Below are 17,887 nucleotides of genomic sequence, written 5' to 3' on the forward strand. Positions count from 1 at the left end.
TGGTACCAAAACAGAGATATAGACCAATGGAACAGAACAGAGCCCTCGGAAATAATACCACATACATCTTCAACCATATGATCTTTGACAAACCTGACAAAAACAAGAAATGGGGAAAGGATTCCCTATTTAATAAATGGTGCTGGGAAAACTGGCTAGCCATATGTAGAAAGCTGAAACTGGATCGCTTCTTTACACCTTATACAAAAATTAATTCAAGATGGATTAAAGACTTAAACATTAGACCTAAAACCATAAAAACCCTAGAAGAAAACCTAGGCAATACCATTCAGGACATAGGCATGGGCAAGGACTTCATGTCTAAAACACCAAAAGCAATGGCAACAAAAGCCAAAATTGACAAATGGGATCTAATTAAACTAAAGAGGTTCTGCACAGCAAAAGAAACTACCATCAGAGTGAACAGGCAACCTACAGAATGGGAGAAAATTTTTGCAATCTACTCATCTGACAAAGGGCTAATATTCAGAATCTACAAAGAACTTAAATTTACAAGAAAAAATCAAACAACCCCATCAAAAAGTGGGCAAAGGATATGAACAGACACTTCTCAAAAGAAGACATTTATGCAGCCAACAGACACATGAAAAAATGCTCATCATCACTGGCCATCAGAGAAATGAAATCAAAACCACAAGGAGATACCATGTCACACCAGTTAGAATGGAGATCATCAAAAAGTCAGGAAACAACAGGTGCTGGAGAGGATGTGGAGAAATAGGAACACTTTTACACTGCTGGTGGGACTTTAACTAGTTCAACCATTGTGGAAGACAGTGTGGCGATTCCTCAAGGATCTAGAACCAGAAATACCATTTGACCCAGCCATCCCATTACTGGGGATATACCCAAAGGATTATAAATCATGCTACTATAAAGACACATGCACATGTTATGTTTATTGCGGCACTATTCACAATAGCAAAGACTTGGAACCAACCCAAATGATAGACTGGATTAAGAAAATGTGGCACATATACACCATGGAATACTATGCAGCCATAAAAAAGGATGAGTTCATGTCCTTTGTAGGGACATGGATGAAGCTGGAAACCATCATTCTCAGCAAACTATCGCAAGGACAGAAAACCAAACACTGCATGTTCTCACTCATAGGTGGGAATTGAACAATGAGAACGCTTGGACACAGGAAGGGGAACATCACACATCGGGGCCTGTTGTGGGGTGGGGGGGACGGGGGAGGGATAGCATTAGGAGATACACCTAATGTAAATGACCAGTTAATGGGTGCAGCACATCAACATGGCACATGGATATATATATATATATATATATGTAACCTGCACGTTGTGCACATGTATCCTAGAACTTAAAAGTATTAAAAAAAAGAAAAAAATTGTTTGCCCCTTGTTCTTTCCCTGCAAAACCCCAATCCCGAATTGGTCTAACCACTCATTTTTCTATGGTTAAGCCCAGACTACAGATTGCTGTGGGAAAATAACTTTGAAGAGACTGGTCTCATTTTCAGTTCATGGCATTCATCTTCAAAGGCTCCTCCCCCTGGAGCTCCCAGTCAGGCTCTCTCCTTTCATTTCCACCAATGGCAGTTTCATCTCCTTATTCAAGTGTCTCACACTGCTACTGTCAGCCAAAAAGCCATTATTATGAATTCCTTCAATTTTCTGACAGCACTTTCCCCTCCAGTTGTATCTGGATTCATCAATGGTTCTTAATTTTGCCTCCACAGGACCACCCTTCACCTCTCCTGTAACTTCTCCTTTCCCACCAAATTGCTTTCTCCCCTCCACCCCTACTACCCATTAAAAATACTTTCTCACCTACTCCCATTTACCTACTATTTTCCTTCCAAAGACAGCTGCTTGAAACAGAAGTTACTTTGTTCATTTTCCTCACTATTCATTAATAACTCTTGCTTTTACCACCCTATGTCATCGTCTCCTAATTGCAGACTCCAAAACAGGTCAGTTCCTTCTCACCTGACCTCTCCATGTTATTAATCCCTTTAAAAAATTTACATGAAGGTATTCACAAAAATCCTTCTAATGGACAGAACTAATTTCTCTTTGACTTCCTCTCCACTCCACACTGTCATTTTAATGATGATATAACTGGGTGTCCTGCCTCTCTCATCTCATCCTTTGCTATTGCATTGTTCTTAATGTTTCTAGGATAACTTTTAAAAATAAAAATATGATTGCGTTATGCCCCTGCTAAATCTCAATAATCTACATAGCCTCTGAATTCCTCATTTATTTCAGGAAGAAACTCAAACTCTAACATGGCATATTTAAGATCTGCAAAACTCTAATATTTTCTCCTAACTTCTGTGAGGACTTCTTTCCAATCCTAGTCTTGAGACATGTTGAACTAATACTATTCCTTTCAATTATTGTTTTGGTTAATGTGTTATTGTTCCTCAACTGTATAGAATGGGTGATGCTCCACTAGGAAATTCAGTTAAGAGCTCTTCCAAGATGCTTTTCCAGATTCCCCCAGCCTCAAGTAGGGTGCTTGTTCTGTGGCACTGCAGTACCTTCCATATTCTAACACAGCCCTCGCTTACAATATTTTAATTACTAAAATATTTATCTCTTTCCATCCCACTAGACTGTAAGCTCCTCTTGAAAGCTAAGTAATGGCTTCTCTGGTTCCACCTGTAACATTAAAAAAAATTTTTTTTTGGTAGAGACGGGATCTCACTATGCTGCCCAGGTTGGTCTTGAACTCCTGGCCTCAAGCAGTCCTCCTGCCTCAGCCTATCAAAGTGTTGGGATTACAGGCGTGAGCCACCACATCTAGCTTCTACCTGTAACATTTAGCCCAGTGCCTGAAATGTAGTAGAGAATCAATGAATGGTGAATGAATGAACAAAATAATAATCAATGTCCTTTAAAAAAGCACAGACTATTTCACTTTTGGTACATTCCAAATTGTAATTTTATTTTACCCCAACAGACAAGTTTCTAAAATTTCCATAGAATCCCTATGGAATCATATTCAAGACAAGGCCACTTTATTTCCTGAGAAGTATTAGAAATATTAGAAAGACGCTGCAGAAGTCTGAGTTAAGAACCTAATCTATAACAGCTCATTTATCACACTAAGAAGAGAATAAGACGGTTCATGAGATTCTGCTTCTTTAAACTAACATAAACTAAGGATACATCAATAGAAACAACCTACAGATCAGAAAAAGTTTCCTATGTGGTTTGGAATGTGTCACTTTAATTTTATTCACTCTAACTTTATTCATTTTAATGTTGTTTATAAAATAACTCTATTAGGACAGAGACTTTGACTATTTTAAGTGGTATCCCAGCACCTGTAAGGAGATCTGGCATATAGTAGTTCAATAAATCTTTCTTCAATAAGTGAATGCACGTAAGTATTTAGCTTCAAATTCAGAGATAAGTGAAAGAATTTTTCTAGCAAAAGCAAAATAATCTAAACATTTGTCTAATTACCTTTTTGCAAATCTGTTTCATTGTGACTTCTTCCAAGTTAGCACTGGCCAGTAATTTCTTTATTGTTTCCTTTAACTCTTCATCTGTAGGGGGTTTCTTCAACTTTTTAATTAAAGGTTCATCATCTGAACTATCCTCAGACTCACTTTCTAAAAGTAATATAATAATAATAATTTTTCTTACATAGTAAATTAACATTTAACAAAGGCTGAGATGAATTTTAAGCTTTCAACAGATTCTCAAAGGGGTACTGGATCAAAAAAATTATAAATCACTACTCTACAGTTACCTATAAAACATGCATACAAATTTTAGTCAATTTGAAAAATCAAAAACTATAAAAAACTGGTATACAGGTTAGGCATCCCTAATCCAAAAATCCAAAACCTGAAATGTTCCAAAATCCAGCTTTTCAGAGCACCAACATGACACCACCAGGAGGTAATTCCATACCCGACCTCGTGTGACGGGTCGCAGTCAAAACTTGGTTTCAGGCCAAGGGCAGTGGTCCAAGCCTGTAAACCCAGTGCTCTGGGGGGCCAAGATAGGAGACTCGCTTGAGTCCAGCAGTTCAAGGCTACAGTGAGCTGTAACGGCACCACTGCAATAAATAATTTATTTAGTTAAAATATTAAACTACCTTCAGGCTATTTAAGATGAATATGAAACATGAATGAATTTCATGTTTAGACTGGGTCCCATCCCCAAGATATCTCTCTCTCTGTCTCTCTCTCTATATATATATATTGCAAAATCTGAATCACTTCCTGTCCCAAGCATTTCAGATAAGGGATATTCAACCTGTATTACTTCTCCCCGCAATGTTCTCTGCAGTTTACCTGTTTCTCCCACACACTTAAATACTATGTACAACATATTAATATATGCTATATCTTTAAAGTTGCTGATTAATGTTATTTCTAACATACCTTTTTTGGAACTGTTTTGATTCTTCTTGGTGGTGCTGCTATCTGCTTTCTTAACATTGGCACTTTTCACAGATTTTTTACTTTTAGAAGTAGCTTTCTGTTTAGGTTTTTCTCTTTTGGCTGTCTTTTTTGGTGGCTGTTACAAAAGAAAGTAAAAGTACACATATTGATGAGATTCAATGCTATCCCATCCCATCCCTCTACTTCCCCTATGCCCCTTAATAATATTAGAGAAAACCAATATATTTGGTATCAGCAATTAAAAATTCTTTTTGAGAGATGACTAATATACAACAATTTTATCCCAACACAAGTCTAAGCATGACAAATCACAATCACACACACACAAGAGTTGCCCATATTTATTCAACACTATGGATAAACTACATATGCATTACTCTACTTAATCTTGGGGGGGACCCCTAAATATAGATAATATTATCTTCTCTTATTTATGTTCTCTCTCTTTCAACTGGAATCTTTTTTTTTTTTTTTTTTTTTTTTGAGACAGAGTCTTGCTGCGTCACCCTGGCTGGAGTGCAGTGGCCCGATCTTGGTTCACTGCAACCTCTGCCCTCCCGGGTTCAAGCGAATTCTCCTGTCTCTGCCTCCCTAGTAGCTGGGATTACAGGTGCTCGCCACCACACCCGGCTAATTTTTGTATTTTTAGTAGAGATGAGGTTTTGCCATGTTGGCCAGGCTGGTCTTGAACTCCTGACCTCAGATGATCTGCCTGCCTTGGCCTCCCAAAGTGCTGGGATTACAGGCATGAGCCACCACACCTGGCCTAGAATCTTGTGTTCACTGATGTTTCCCTAACTCCTAAAATAGTCTCTGGTATACAGTAGTTGCTCAATAAATACTTATGACTATATGAGGAAACTAAGGCTCAGTGTGGTTACCTTGTCCACAGTCACATTAATAAACATGCAAGATTCAAATATAGATGTGACTCCAGAACTTGTGTTCTTAAACACTAACCCATAGGTGATTAGACACAAACAAAATACATAAATATGGATAGATTAAAATGACAGGCCAGGCATGGTGGCTCATGCCTGTAATTCCAGCACTTTGGGAGGTCAAGGCGGGCGGATCATGAGATCAAGAGACTGAGACCATCCTGGTCAACATGGTGAAACACTGTCTCTCCTAAAAATACAAAAATTAGCTGGGTGTGGTGGTGGGCACCTGTAGTCTCAGCTACTCAGGAGGCTGAGGCAAGAGAATTGCTTGAACCCTGGAGATGGAGGTTGCAGTGAGTGGAGATCATGACACTGCACTCCAGGAGAGAGACTGTCTCAAAAAAAAAAAAAAAAAGACAAAATCAGAGTTCATACTTTGTCTCATGTGGAGCCTGTGAAATTAGAAAGCATTAATTCTTAGTTTAATTAATGTTCCCAAAGGAAAAGCTTCCTATTAAACATTCCAAGATATTTTAAATTCTCCCATTTACACACTAAAACTACTGCGATCACTTGACAGAACGTTTCTCCAAATGTTTAACACTCTTGATTCCTGAGAGTTATCCTAAAGCAACCTGGTTTTTTTTTTTGAGATGGAGTCTCGCTCTTGTTGCCCAGGCAGGAGCAGGAGTGCAATGGCATGATCTCGGCTCACCGCAACCTCTGCCTCCCGGGTTCAAGTGATTCTCCTGCCTCAGCCTCTTGAGTAGCTGGGATTACAGGCATGCGCCACCACACCCGGCTACTTTTGTATTTTTAGTAGAGACGGGGTTTCTCCATGTTGGCCAGGCTGGTCAGGAACTCCCGACCTCAGGTGATCCACTCACTTTGGTCTCTCAAAGTGCTGGGATTACAGCCGTGAGCCACTGTGCCCGGCCAAGTCAACCTGTTTTTAAAGACATAAGCACTGTGTTGAACCTATCCTTTAGATTAAAGTATACACATCAATCTGTTCCAAAAGTGGCCTCAAGCTATTCATTGGATTTTAGTGTCTTTTTTTTTTTTTTTTTTTTTTTAAAAAAAAGAGATGGTCTCGCTATGTTACCCATGCTAGACTCAAACAATCCTCCCACCTCAGGCTCCTGAGTAGTTGGGACTACAGGCACACACCACCTCACCTGGCTGGATTTTAGTGTTTGTCTTTCTTTTTGCTAATATACCATCACTGTACCTATTTATACAAGCCTATCATCACCCTGCACTACCTCAACAATATACCACTGGCTGGGAAGCATGTAGTTTAACTGCTACTAAAAAATACATTTTTAAGGTGTCAAGGGGCTGACATGCTTCTAAAAGTAAGTACATGAATTTCCCATGGACTTTTGCGATTTACAGGCCATTTTAACTTACTTCCTAATCCTAAGAGATGTTCTAGATGGTGTGGGGCTATGGGACAAGTATCAATGATTTGTCGTTTTTTTATGACGAACTTAAACTAAGTTTTAAGGTTCATTAAGTGTCCACCCAGTTCATGTGAACTATATATTAGGCTCTGAAAGGGAATCCTAAAAATTCTTAAGTTCTTTAGCACACTTAATACACAGAATACAATAATCATGATTATATATCATTTTTTAGTTAAACGGTAATAAAATCTGGACTTGCAGGTACAAGAAAGTAAGTTATTACTGAAAGGGTTGAAGGTTGAGCAAAAGAAACAATATCATCAATAATTACTCAATCTCCATTCAAATTAGAAAATCAGAATTAGATAACTAAAATACTTCCAAAGCCTTTTAAGGCTTGCCATTAAAATTTTAGATGTGATACACAACATGACATCATTTTAAAACCTGCAAATTGTGAGTAGTGACAGTTTGTCAAAGCATAAACATTTATAATAATAAATAACAAGCCATCTCCATAAAATCTTACTTCTGTATAACAAAACCACATCTTTCTACATTTCATATCTGCTGTAAAGGATAATGTTCTACAGTTTTTCTAAACGGACAACCAGGCCTGTCATCTATTAAAATTTCTAAAAGACTGCAAATATACTGCACAAGCACTAAAGAAAAATATACGACATAATAGTTCAAAGAGTACAGGCTCTAGCAGCAAGCTGCCTGGTTTCAAATTCCAGCCCCAGTACATCTCTGGGCCCTTGTCTCATTTACAAAACAAAAGAAACAATAGTTCCTATGGTTTTATGGGGAGTAGATACATTAACAGATGAAAAGTATTTTTGGTAGTACCTGGCAAATAGTAAACACTAAATATTAACTATTATTACTGAGTGCTTCCTTTTGCAGAATGAGAAATTCTTTGATTATGCAAATATAATTTCCTCCAATAACTTAAACTTTCTAAGTGTTTTCAAAAAGCAGGGTGCAGTGGCTCAATCCTGTAATCCCAACACTTTAGGAGGCTGAGATGGGAGGATCACTTGAGGCCAGAGGTTCAAGACCAGCCTGGGCAAAATCAGAAGACCCTATCTCTAAAAAACTAATTTTCTTTTTTTTAAAAGCAGGGCAGATACACAGACTGGAAATTATAAACACAGTGAGACAAACTCAATAACAACTGTATTAACTAGCCATGATATATCGCACTTACTTCACTACATTATAGTAGATACGACATGGCCCGCAAACATCTATAGTAATACGTCATGTCATTTATACAGAATTTCATTTATCTTTAGCAACCAGCTGTAAATTCTTCTGTGACAAAGTTAAGGTAGGAATTTGGTAAAGTCTCTTTTTTAGATTAATGCTGAGTTAAGAAATCATGAAAGCTGAACAGTAAAACTACTAATGAATTTGTATCTTGTGCTTTAGTCCTGCAGGTTTTCATCACTTCGGCTGCCCTGAAGGTTATTAGGTATAGGAGGAATAGGTCTCTGGAAAATGGGGGCATCTCAAAGGACATACCTTGGTATTAGGACACAATGGACAATTTTTGTCTGTCAAGGTAAATATGGGTAACCAGAATTTGGAGGTAACAGAAAAAAACACAGGGAGAGCTGACAAGGCAAGTTAAACAATGTCCCCTTTAATTTTACATGAACTTTCAAATCTTCATTACTTTCATTCCTCCCCTGTACTTAGGAAAACCCCACTCATGATTCTAAACCTAGCTTAACAATTACCTCCTCTAAATCTTTCACAATACCATCAATTTGATTAATCCATACTCTCAAAGTACTTGGCCTGCAATTCATTATCCCTACTTTATGGAAGGTATTGTGAAGCTGTAAGAACAAGGGTGTTACAGCCAAACATCCTGATTCCTGAGCACCTGTATATGTTTTTGAAGCTCCAGAGGTGACTCATCTAGCTATACCACATAAAATGAAAAGCACATTTATGGACTAGATTTGTCACCAAGACTTTTCTTTGAAGTGCCAGATAGTAAATATTTTCAGCTTTCCCGGCTACATATAATCTTTGTTGCATATTCATTTTTTTAAACAATCATTTAAAAATGGAAAAACCATTCTGAGCTTGAGGGCTGTATAAAAACAGGCTGTAGGCTGGACTTGGCATACAGGCTACACTGCCTGCTGATTCCTAGATTTTGAATTATTGGAGCTATATACAGTAAAGGCAGGAACCAGACAAAGCAATCAACAGGACAATTCCTCCAATTATCAAGTTTTTAATAGCTTTTAGTTTTAAGTTCTGATAAGCACAAGTGGATTTATACTCATTAACTTTCTTAAAGCTATTGCTTAAAATCAAATTTTGATCTAAATCAGGAATTCTAGAGAGAACTCTGAAGATAGAAGTACATAAACAAGAAGCTTTAGAAAGAATAGGAAGCCATGCACGGTGGCTCAACCCCGTAATCCCAGCACTTTGGGAGGCCAGGAGTTCGAGACCAGCCTGGCAACATCGTGAAACCCCGTCTCTACAAAAAATTAGTCAGGCGTGGTGGCATGCACCTGTGGACCCAGCTACTAGGGTGGCTGTGCCACGAGAATTGCTGAACCTGGGAGGTGGAGGTGGCAGTGAGTATCGATCGTGCCACTGTACCCCAGCCTGGGCAACAAAGCAAGACTCTGTCTCAAAAAAGAAGAAAGAATAATACGGCAGTCTCCCTTTATCTATGGTTTCTCTTTCTGCATGTGGTTTCAACTACCTGTTGTCAACCATAGTCTGAAAATATTAAATGGAAAATTCCAGAAGTAAACAACTCATAAATTTAAAATTGCATGCTGTTCTGAGTAGTGTGATGAAATCTCATGTCATCCTGCTCACTCCTGCCCGGGATGTGAATCATCCCTTTGTCCAGCATATCCACACTGTAGATGCTCCCAGAACCTTGGCCCATTAGTCACTAGCAGCCATCTTGGTTATCCTATCAACTGTTGCAGTATCATTGTGCTTGTGCCCAAGTACCCTTATGTGACTTAATAATGGCCCCAAAGCCCAGAAGTAGTAATGTTGGCAATTCAAACATGCCAAAGAGAAGCCATAAAGTGGGTTCTTTTAAGTGAAAGCTCTTTACTCAAGGAAAGAAAAAAATCATATGTTGAGGTTTCTAAGATCTATAGTAAGAACAAATCTTCTATATGTGAAATTGTGAAGGGAAAAGAACTTTGTGCTGGCTCTGCTGTCAAACCTCAAACTGCGAAAGTTATGGCCACAGTGCAGGATAAGTGCTTAGTTATGATGAAAAAGGCATAATTTGAGGGTGGGAAACGTGAACAGAAACATGTCCCAAATGACAGCAATCGGGCTTGGCATGATCTGCAGTTTCAGGCATACACTGGGGGTCTTGAAATGTACTCCGTTCAGGTAAGAGGTGACTACTGTGAAGAGAAAGCACTAAAAAAGGTTTCTTATATATTTATTATAACCTCAAATACAAAAATGAGGAGACATACCTCACCTCTCATGGAGTCAAGACTAAATGAGATGCAAGATGTGAAAGCACATGGTATATACACTTTGAATAGTTTCTTCCTTGCAGTTGCTAATAAATGCTTACTGAGTGGTACTTCCTGGAAGACCAGAGGACGTGTCTCATTTTTTTTTTCTCCCACTTAGTAAAATGCTCAGGTATAGAATAAGATAATCATTTTGAATGAGTGAGAATAATGAACCTACCACCAAACATATTAGTCACACAACAATGCCCAGCTTCATGGGTTCTCTATAGCATGGGTTCAACCTACATTACCTTAGTTTCATCTCTCATTGCTCTACTTCTGGGCACACAACTCTAACCACGAGTTAGTCAAAGGCACCCTGCCTTCCCTGTTCCTTATCTTTGTTCACACGTACAACTTTCCTCTCCATTCCCAAGGTCAACTTGAATTGGTAGTACTTCCACTTCTACCCAAAGCCTTTCCTCAAGAGGCATGAAGATTTTCCTTCTTTAGAAATCCTATAATGCTAAGTATCAAATGGCATTTGCTTGGAAAATATCTTCTGTAACCCTAACAGCATTTAGCATACTCCCAATTCACTGACTTGAGCAATCAAAAAGTGGTTACCTCAGAAATCAAAAGCCAGTGGGCAACAGAGCAAGAACCTCTCTCTACAAAAAATTTAAAAATTGCTAGCCACTTGGTGGCAGGATCACTTGAACCCTGGAGTTCAAGGCTGCAGTGAGCCATGATCTCACCACTGTACTCCAGCCTGGGCAACAGAGTAAGACGTACGACTCTGTCTCAAAAATAAGTGAAGTACTGACCCCCATTTTAAGTCTCTTTCAAAATATCTTGAAAACTTTAGTGATTATAATAAAAATTATATGGCATTGAGGAAATAATGTTGAAAATACTCACAATGGTTAACATCTTGTTATTTAACCTAAGTGGAGACAAGACTGAGTCTTTTAACAAAATGGGGGGAAAATTAGGTTAAGTTTTTTTAAAAAAAGAATAAAGAAAAAGCTGATTTCCAAATTGTCATGAGATTTAAAGATTCGAGTTTGCTACTTCTCTATATGCTGAGTGGTTCAATCAGGACCATCAACTATTTCAGATGTTCTAAAGGGGAACAAATAAAAATGAACAGCTGCCATTAATGTCAGATAGTACAATGTACTATAACCTAAATTTTTAAAGGATCAGTAATACAGAAGTTTCAAAAACGTGAAGGGGATTCTCCCTGTCTCTGATAACCATGAAGGTACAGAATCAGAGGAATGACATAAGCACTTTTTGAAGGAAGGCAAAAAAAATCTTGGGAAAGCAAGGCTTACCTATGATTTATAGGCAGCAGGGCTCTTGAAGGAGGGTCTCCAAAAAAGACGCCTGTCACAGAGCCAGAATTCTGTCCTCACAGCAGAAAGGTTGTACTGGGTGAACAGATGAACAAAATAAAAATTAGCTTAAAATACACTATTCTTTCAACAATTTGGCTGAGAAAACTCAGAATGCCAAGAGGAAAGAATGTGCAAGTCTAGTTATATTTCACAGAAGATTATGAAAGCAAGTTTAAATGGGTTTTAGTATGGTGATTATTCAATTCTGCCTTCCAACGAAAGGTTTAAATGGTTTATACAGATTTTGCAATTCCTCTGATCAACGTGTGAGAGGAAGAGATAGTTTAGTTTTCTAAAACACAATGTGAAAGGACTAACAAAACTTTCACATTCACCTTACCACTACCAGATAATCCCTTGAATGGTCCAAATAGATAGTTTACCAAAAATTATAATGGAGTTTCTCTGACTTGGCAAACATTGTAAGATGGCTCACTGAACCACCCACTTTTGATCTGCCTTCCTCTTATAAAGGTAGGAAAGCTGACACCTAGATCTCAGAGCTTCTCTTGCAGTTAGGTGGGCAGACAACAAAGTGCTGGCTGATGCCATGTATATGGAGATCTCTGGTAAAAGGCATCCCATTCAGGGAAAAAAGCCAAAACATCACTAGAAGAAAACCTTTTGCTCTTCCTTATCTGGAACATGAATACAATGTCTAAAGGTAAAACAACCACCTTGTGATCATGAAGTTAATTGCCATATACTAAAGATGAGAGATCAGGAAAGGACAGTACCCACATCCTCAATTCCTTTCTTGAACTGCTGTACTGGCCCTAGAATGTCCCTGTCTGTGGGCTTCTTGTCATGAAAGAAAAATAAACTCCTGTTTCGAACATTATTAGTAAGGCTGACAATTATTTCAGCAGAAAACATTCCTGATAACATATGGCAACATTCAGATAAATTCTAAATACTCGTAAAACTCCACAGTTTGTTTCATACTTTCGAGATACGTATGCGCTATAAAAACACTAGAAAATAAAAATTGAAGACAGAGGTATTAGGATAAGATGAAAAAGAAATAAAATATGCTTTTAAAGAGTCTAAAAGACTGTTAGAATTGTTTTCTCCAATATGTACTATTTCCCCCTTTTTTCTGTACTCTGCAGTAATTTCTCTATGCCTCAAGGTTAACACCTGTGAATAGCATGACCAAATGTGGTTTATGACCAAATGTGGTTTAACCTCAACGGCTCATTGATACGGTTTGGCTCTGTGTCCCCACCCAAATCTCACCTTGAATTGTAATAATCCCCACGTTGTGGGAGGGACCCAGTGGGAGGTAACTGAATCACGAGGGTGGGTTTTTCTCATGCTGTTCTCATGACAGTGAAACAGTCTCACCAGATCTGATGGTTTTATAAAAGGGAGTTGCCCTATACATACCCTCTTGCTTGCTGCCGCGTAAGATGGGTCTTTGCTCCTCATTCGCCTTCCACCATGATTGTGAGGCCACCCCAGCCATGTGGAACTGTGAGTCAACTAAACTCCTTTAAAATTACTCAGTCTTGGGTATGTCTTTATTAACAGCGTGAGAAAGGACTAATACACTCATTTTAGCAATCCTGCCCTGAAGAAGCTAATCCCACATAGGAACCAGCTGATTTTCATAATCAATTTAGAGAAAATAACCTGTTTATTTTCCTATTTCTCATCAAAAGAAAAAAAGAAAATCATCCACCACTTCCTTCCCAATTGCTCTCCTTTTACTGTTCTAAAAAGCCAATGTCCAAGAGACAAGCTAATAAGGAAATTCAAAATGGCTCTTTTATAAAGGGATTTCTTTCTGAAGTTACTCTCACAAAGAATACTCTTTTATTTAATTACAAGGAAAAGAATTGCAAAACTATTGTGACTCACTCACTGCATATCATAAAAACAGAGGTAGAGGTACAGGTACAGAAAACCTCAAACAAGTGCTTTAGCAATTATCAGCTAATATGCTAAATCTGACATTTTCTTTTAAATTACTTTTGTAAAACTGTCATTTCAATTAACTATATGGATTTCAGTGATTTCATCTTAACACTGAATTTACTTATAAACACCTTAGTCTTCTACACATCTAAAGTTAAACATGAAACTAGGAGGAAAATAAATACAATTTAACCTCATATAATTAGCCAAAGGAGAACTATAAACTTACTCGGCTTGCATAAGATTTCTTACTTCAACAATGAATAGAGTATATTTGACTATACAGTTCAAAATCCTCATTTTACAGAGGAAACTGAACAAAGTAAAATCAATCTACCCAAATTCACAGTTATTTACTCCAAGAAAAACAGAACAAGAAGCTGATCTTAATGAATAAGAGTCTTTTATTTATCAAAGAAAAATCTGTGTCAGAAAATAAACAGAATATTAACTCACTAATTTCCTATCATAAAGAAATCTACAGGCAATCCAAAACTTCTGTGACTAACTTGCAACTTTTCTTTATGGCTTCTTAGAAAAGAGGTCCTTCCATAGTAATGACCAAAAATAGCTCCATTTATGAAGTTCCTAACATGGCTGACATTTAGAACTGAGTCTTCATAAAATGGAATAAGGAAAAACAAAGTTGCCACAGATACACTGTTCCTCCTGCCAGAACTTACCTTTCAAAGGCCTTTCACAGAAACTGAATCAGCAATAAAAAGCTGAAGACAGTGCTAAATTTAAAGCAACAATGCTTGTTGGAGAGACATTTATCAGGGAAAAAAAAGGGGGGGAAACAATTTCTCAGTCCAAATTTTATTTTACATTTTATAAAATCTGTCAAGTACTAGCAAAGGTAGCAAAAAAATCCCTCTAATAAAATATGATATAGCTTTTATATTGTGTGATTTCATACACCTAATGTCTGAAAGCATTTTTACATTTTCTTCTCCCATGGATTTTCATCAATTGACCTGGGTTTCTAGTCACAGACCCTAGATTAGGGCACTACAGAAGGTAAAGGTTTGATTTATAGTGAGATGGTTCCACTTGTGATTATTATCCTGGAACCAATATGGGTATAAATCAGGTATCATCTGCATACACCAAGTTCAACTACCTCTACAGAACTATGGGACAACAATTTAGAAAGCGAATTTTAAAAGTGAGTATAAAATGCTCTCGTTTTTTTTTTTTGAGACGGAGTTTCGCTCGTTGCTCAGGCTGGAGAACAATGGTGCGATCTCAGCTCACTGCAACCTCTGCCTCCCCGGTTCAAGCAATTCTCCTGCCTCAGCCTTCCCGAGTAGCTGGGATTATCGGCATGCACCACCACGCCCAGCTAATTTTGTATTTTTAGTAGAGGCAGGGTTTCACCATGTTGGTGAGGCTGGTCTCGAACTCCTGACCTCAGGTGATCCACCCACCTCGGCCTCCCAAAGTGCTGGGATTACAGGCATGGGTCACCATGCCCGGCCTGCCCTCACTTTTTAACCTGCACCTAGTAATGACAAGAAGATTCGATTTAGAAGTTTTACTTGTCATAAAACATCATTTTAATTCTAATAATAATAGCAACTAATACTTACATACTATATGCACCAGGCACCGCTCTAAGTATTTTAAATAAAATCCTTTAATATGACCCTATGAGGCTAATACTATTATCACTCCCCATTTTACAGATGGGAAACTGAGGTATAGTTTAAATAACTTGCTTATACTAATACAGTAATAATCCAATATAGAGGTCAGATTTGAACTCAGTTTCCAGAGCCCATGCTAACGTCTCTATGAAAAAATTAGACATTTATATTCTATGATAATGTTTCGTGCTTTAACTCTGCCCATAAAGAGAGTTTAGGAATCTGAATGGCACACAGTAGACACCAAATATTTCCTGAATGAAGATACTATCAGTTTAAAAATTTCCACTGTTATATATATACATACAAACAAACATGTTTTCCTCCCGGATATCCAATCCATAAAGACCTTAATGCTCAGATTACTTATTTTCCTTTGTGCCAAATATATATTAAGATATTTATGAAGCACCTACTAGATTCGTAACCCTCTTTCTTAAATGATGAAGCATTTCATACTTAGCTTTATAGAAGTCTTTATAAAATTTGACGCTAAAACAAGCATGAATTGTAAATAACTCAAGACAAACATACATACTAAACACCCACACATATCATATAATACCAGAGTTCACTATATCTTTATTCCTTCTAATTCAGTGGAGATGATTCCCTCCTTGTCTCGCCCCAGGGACATTTGACAATGTCTGAAGAACATTTTTGGTTGTCACAAGGGGAGCTTGGGAATATCACCCACAATTAAGAATCATCTGGTCCAAAATGTCAAGTTGACATTATCCAAGTCCCTAAATAAGGCAAGGTTGATTACCCAATCTATAGAGCAAGTTCCAACCTTTGAACGAAAACATCAAAGTTAAAATACAGTCTACCAAAACATCATTAACAATAATAGAAACCCATCTCCTGTACCCACTCTCCATGATCTACCTGACTGAAGAGGTTAACCCTCTTATTTAACTGCTTCAGCAGTTCTCTTCTTCATGAAGTTTCACTTTGGAAACTAAGAGTCTCAACTTTTACAAATACTCCCAAATAAAAGAAAATGACAGGTAATACAAAATTTATCCACTCATTATATAAACTTCAAATGCTGTTTATTCTCACTACATAGTCCCCTAAAGGTTGAGGGGGGGAAAAAGGCCCTTAAGTCCCTTGCTTTTTCCGTAAAATAAAATGATCCAAGTCAATTATAAAGTATCAATATATTACGAAAAAAATCCTCGAAGAATCTGCTCCTATGTGGTCCTATTCAGGATATGCACCACTTCCGCTTCCCTTCCCATTTATCTACTCTAGTCTTCAACGTCCAGCTCAAGGCCCACTTCAAATCCAGTCCACACCAACCTCACTCTTTTCTGACTCATACTCTGACATGGTAATGAAACTAAAAGCTCTTTAAGGAAAAGAAATGGGTTCATACTTAATCATTTCTGCATCTTCAGAATTAAAAACAACCAATAAGGAAGTGTTTTCTGGCTGTACCTTATAGCAGAAATATTTAACTCTCCCCATGGAAAGAAATGATTTAAAAATATAGTAAAATATTTTACCTCCTCTTCACTTTCTTTATCTTCATCATCTGAAGACTCTTCCTTGTTTTTCTTTTCATCTTCATCACTACTAGATTCATCTGACAGAATTTCAGGACATTTGGTTCGCTTAGCCTTCCTTGCCATTCCAGAACTGTTCCGTTCCTTTTTACTGCCTTTGCTACAAGTTTTTTTAGATTTCGGCAATGGCTGCATAAAAATTTATAAAGATAACACCAATGAGGTATAATATTTCAATCAATTCTCTTCTTGAAAACTTATCAACTCAATTTCTTATTCCTCTCTCAAGAAATTGTATTTACAAGCCCAGCAGCTTTGCAGAGAATAATCTTTAACCGTGTCAGGTTAACCTAAAACTGTGTTACTAATACCATTTGTGTTCTAAACACCTAGCAAGACCCTTCTCAATTGTAGAGAAATATGTATTCTAGGTTCTGACATGGGACTAGAAGCTCAAGACACATTATGTTAAGCTCCAACGGCTGTTAATACTTTGTCATGATAATATTTTAAGTTAGATTTGTAATTTATTTCATCCCTACAAGCATTAAAACTGTCACTGCCAACCCAGCACTTTGGGACGCCGAGGCGGGCAGATCATGAGGTCAGGAGATCGAGACCATCCTGGCTAACACGGTGAAACCCCGTCTCTACTAAAAATACAAAAAATTAGCCGGGCGTGGTGGCGGGCGCCTGTAGCCCCAGCTACTCGGGAGGCTGAGGCAGGAGAAAGGCGTGAACCCAGGAGGCAGAGTTTGCAGTGAGCCGAGATCGCGCCACTGCAGTCCAGCCTGGGCAACAGTGTGAGACTCCGTCTCAAAAAAACACAAAAAGCAAAAAACAAAAAACTGTCACTGCCAAAGAAGCTCCTTGCTTTAGAAGGCCCAACACTCCAATCGAAGGAATGGGAGAAAAACCTTTTTTTTTTTTTTTTTTTTTTTTTTTTGAGACAGAGTCTCATTCTGTTGTGCAGTAGCTGGGATTACAAGTATGCACCATCACGCCCAGCTAATTTTTGTATTTTTAGTAGAGACAGTGTTTCACCATGTTGGCCAGGCTGGTCTCAAACTCCTGACCTCAAGTGATCCACCCACCCTGGCCTCCCAAAGTCCTGGGATACAGGCATGAGCCACCACGCCTGGCCCATAAAAAAAATGTATAACTTTATTACCAATTATACATCCTGAATTTATGAATGAACTATACGGTTTATATTCATTA

At 37.9% G+C, this 17,887-nt stretch overlaps 1 protein-coding gene across 4 annotated transcripts in view, besides 2 other annotated features; it reads right to left on the reverse strand.

Moving 5' to 3' along the window:
• DEK (DEK proto-oncogene) overlaps positions 1-17,887 on the reverse strand; it is a 40,671-nt gene that overhangs the window by 9,125 nt on the left and 13,659 nt on the right. For 3 of the 4 annotated variants that reach the window (NM_001134709.2, NM_003472.4, XM_024446544.2), the window contains 3 exons: positions 16,667-16,855; positions 4,397-4,532; positions 3,468-3,616 (listed from right to left, as the gene is read on the reverse strand). In NM_001134709.2, the coding sequence (NP_001128181.1) occupies positions 3,468-3,616; positions 4,397-4,532; positions 16,667-16,855 (474 nt within the window). Of the gene's footprint in view, positions 1-3,467; positions 3,617-4,396; positions 4,533-11,523; positions 11,620-16,666; positions 16,856-17,887 lie in introns of those variants that run through there. The other variant, XM_047419335.1, reaches the window with a different exon arrangement.
• Positions 9,454-9,748: an enhancer, noted in NCBI's record as "tiled region #13525; HepG2 Activating non-DNase unmatched - State 17:Gen3', and K562 Activating DNase matched - State 14:Gen5'". NCBI's record gives its function as "activates a minimal TATA promoter and a strong SV40 promoter by Sharpr-MPRA in HepG2 and K562 cells {active_cell/tissue: HepG2 | K562}" and the evidence as "EXISTENCE:reporter gene assay evidence [ECO:0000049][PMID:27701403]".
• Positions 12,646-12,705: a silencer, noted in NCBI's record as "silent region_16971". NCBI's record gives its function as "represses an Ori minimal core promoter by ATAC-STARR-seq in GM12878 lymphoblastoid cells {active_cell/tissue: GM12878}" and the evidence as "EXISTENCE:reporter gene assay evidence [ECO:0000049][PMID:35858748]".

This window comes from Homo sapiens, chromosome 6, assembly GCF_000001405.40.
Source record: "Homo sapiens chromosome 6, GRCh38.p14 Primary Assembly".
NCBI lineage: Eukaryota > Metazoa > Chordata > Mammalia > Primates > Hominidae > Homo > Homo sapiens.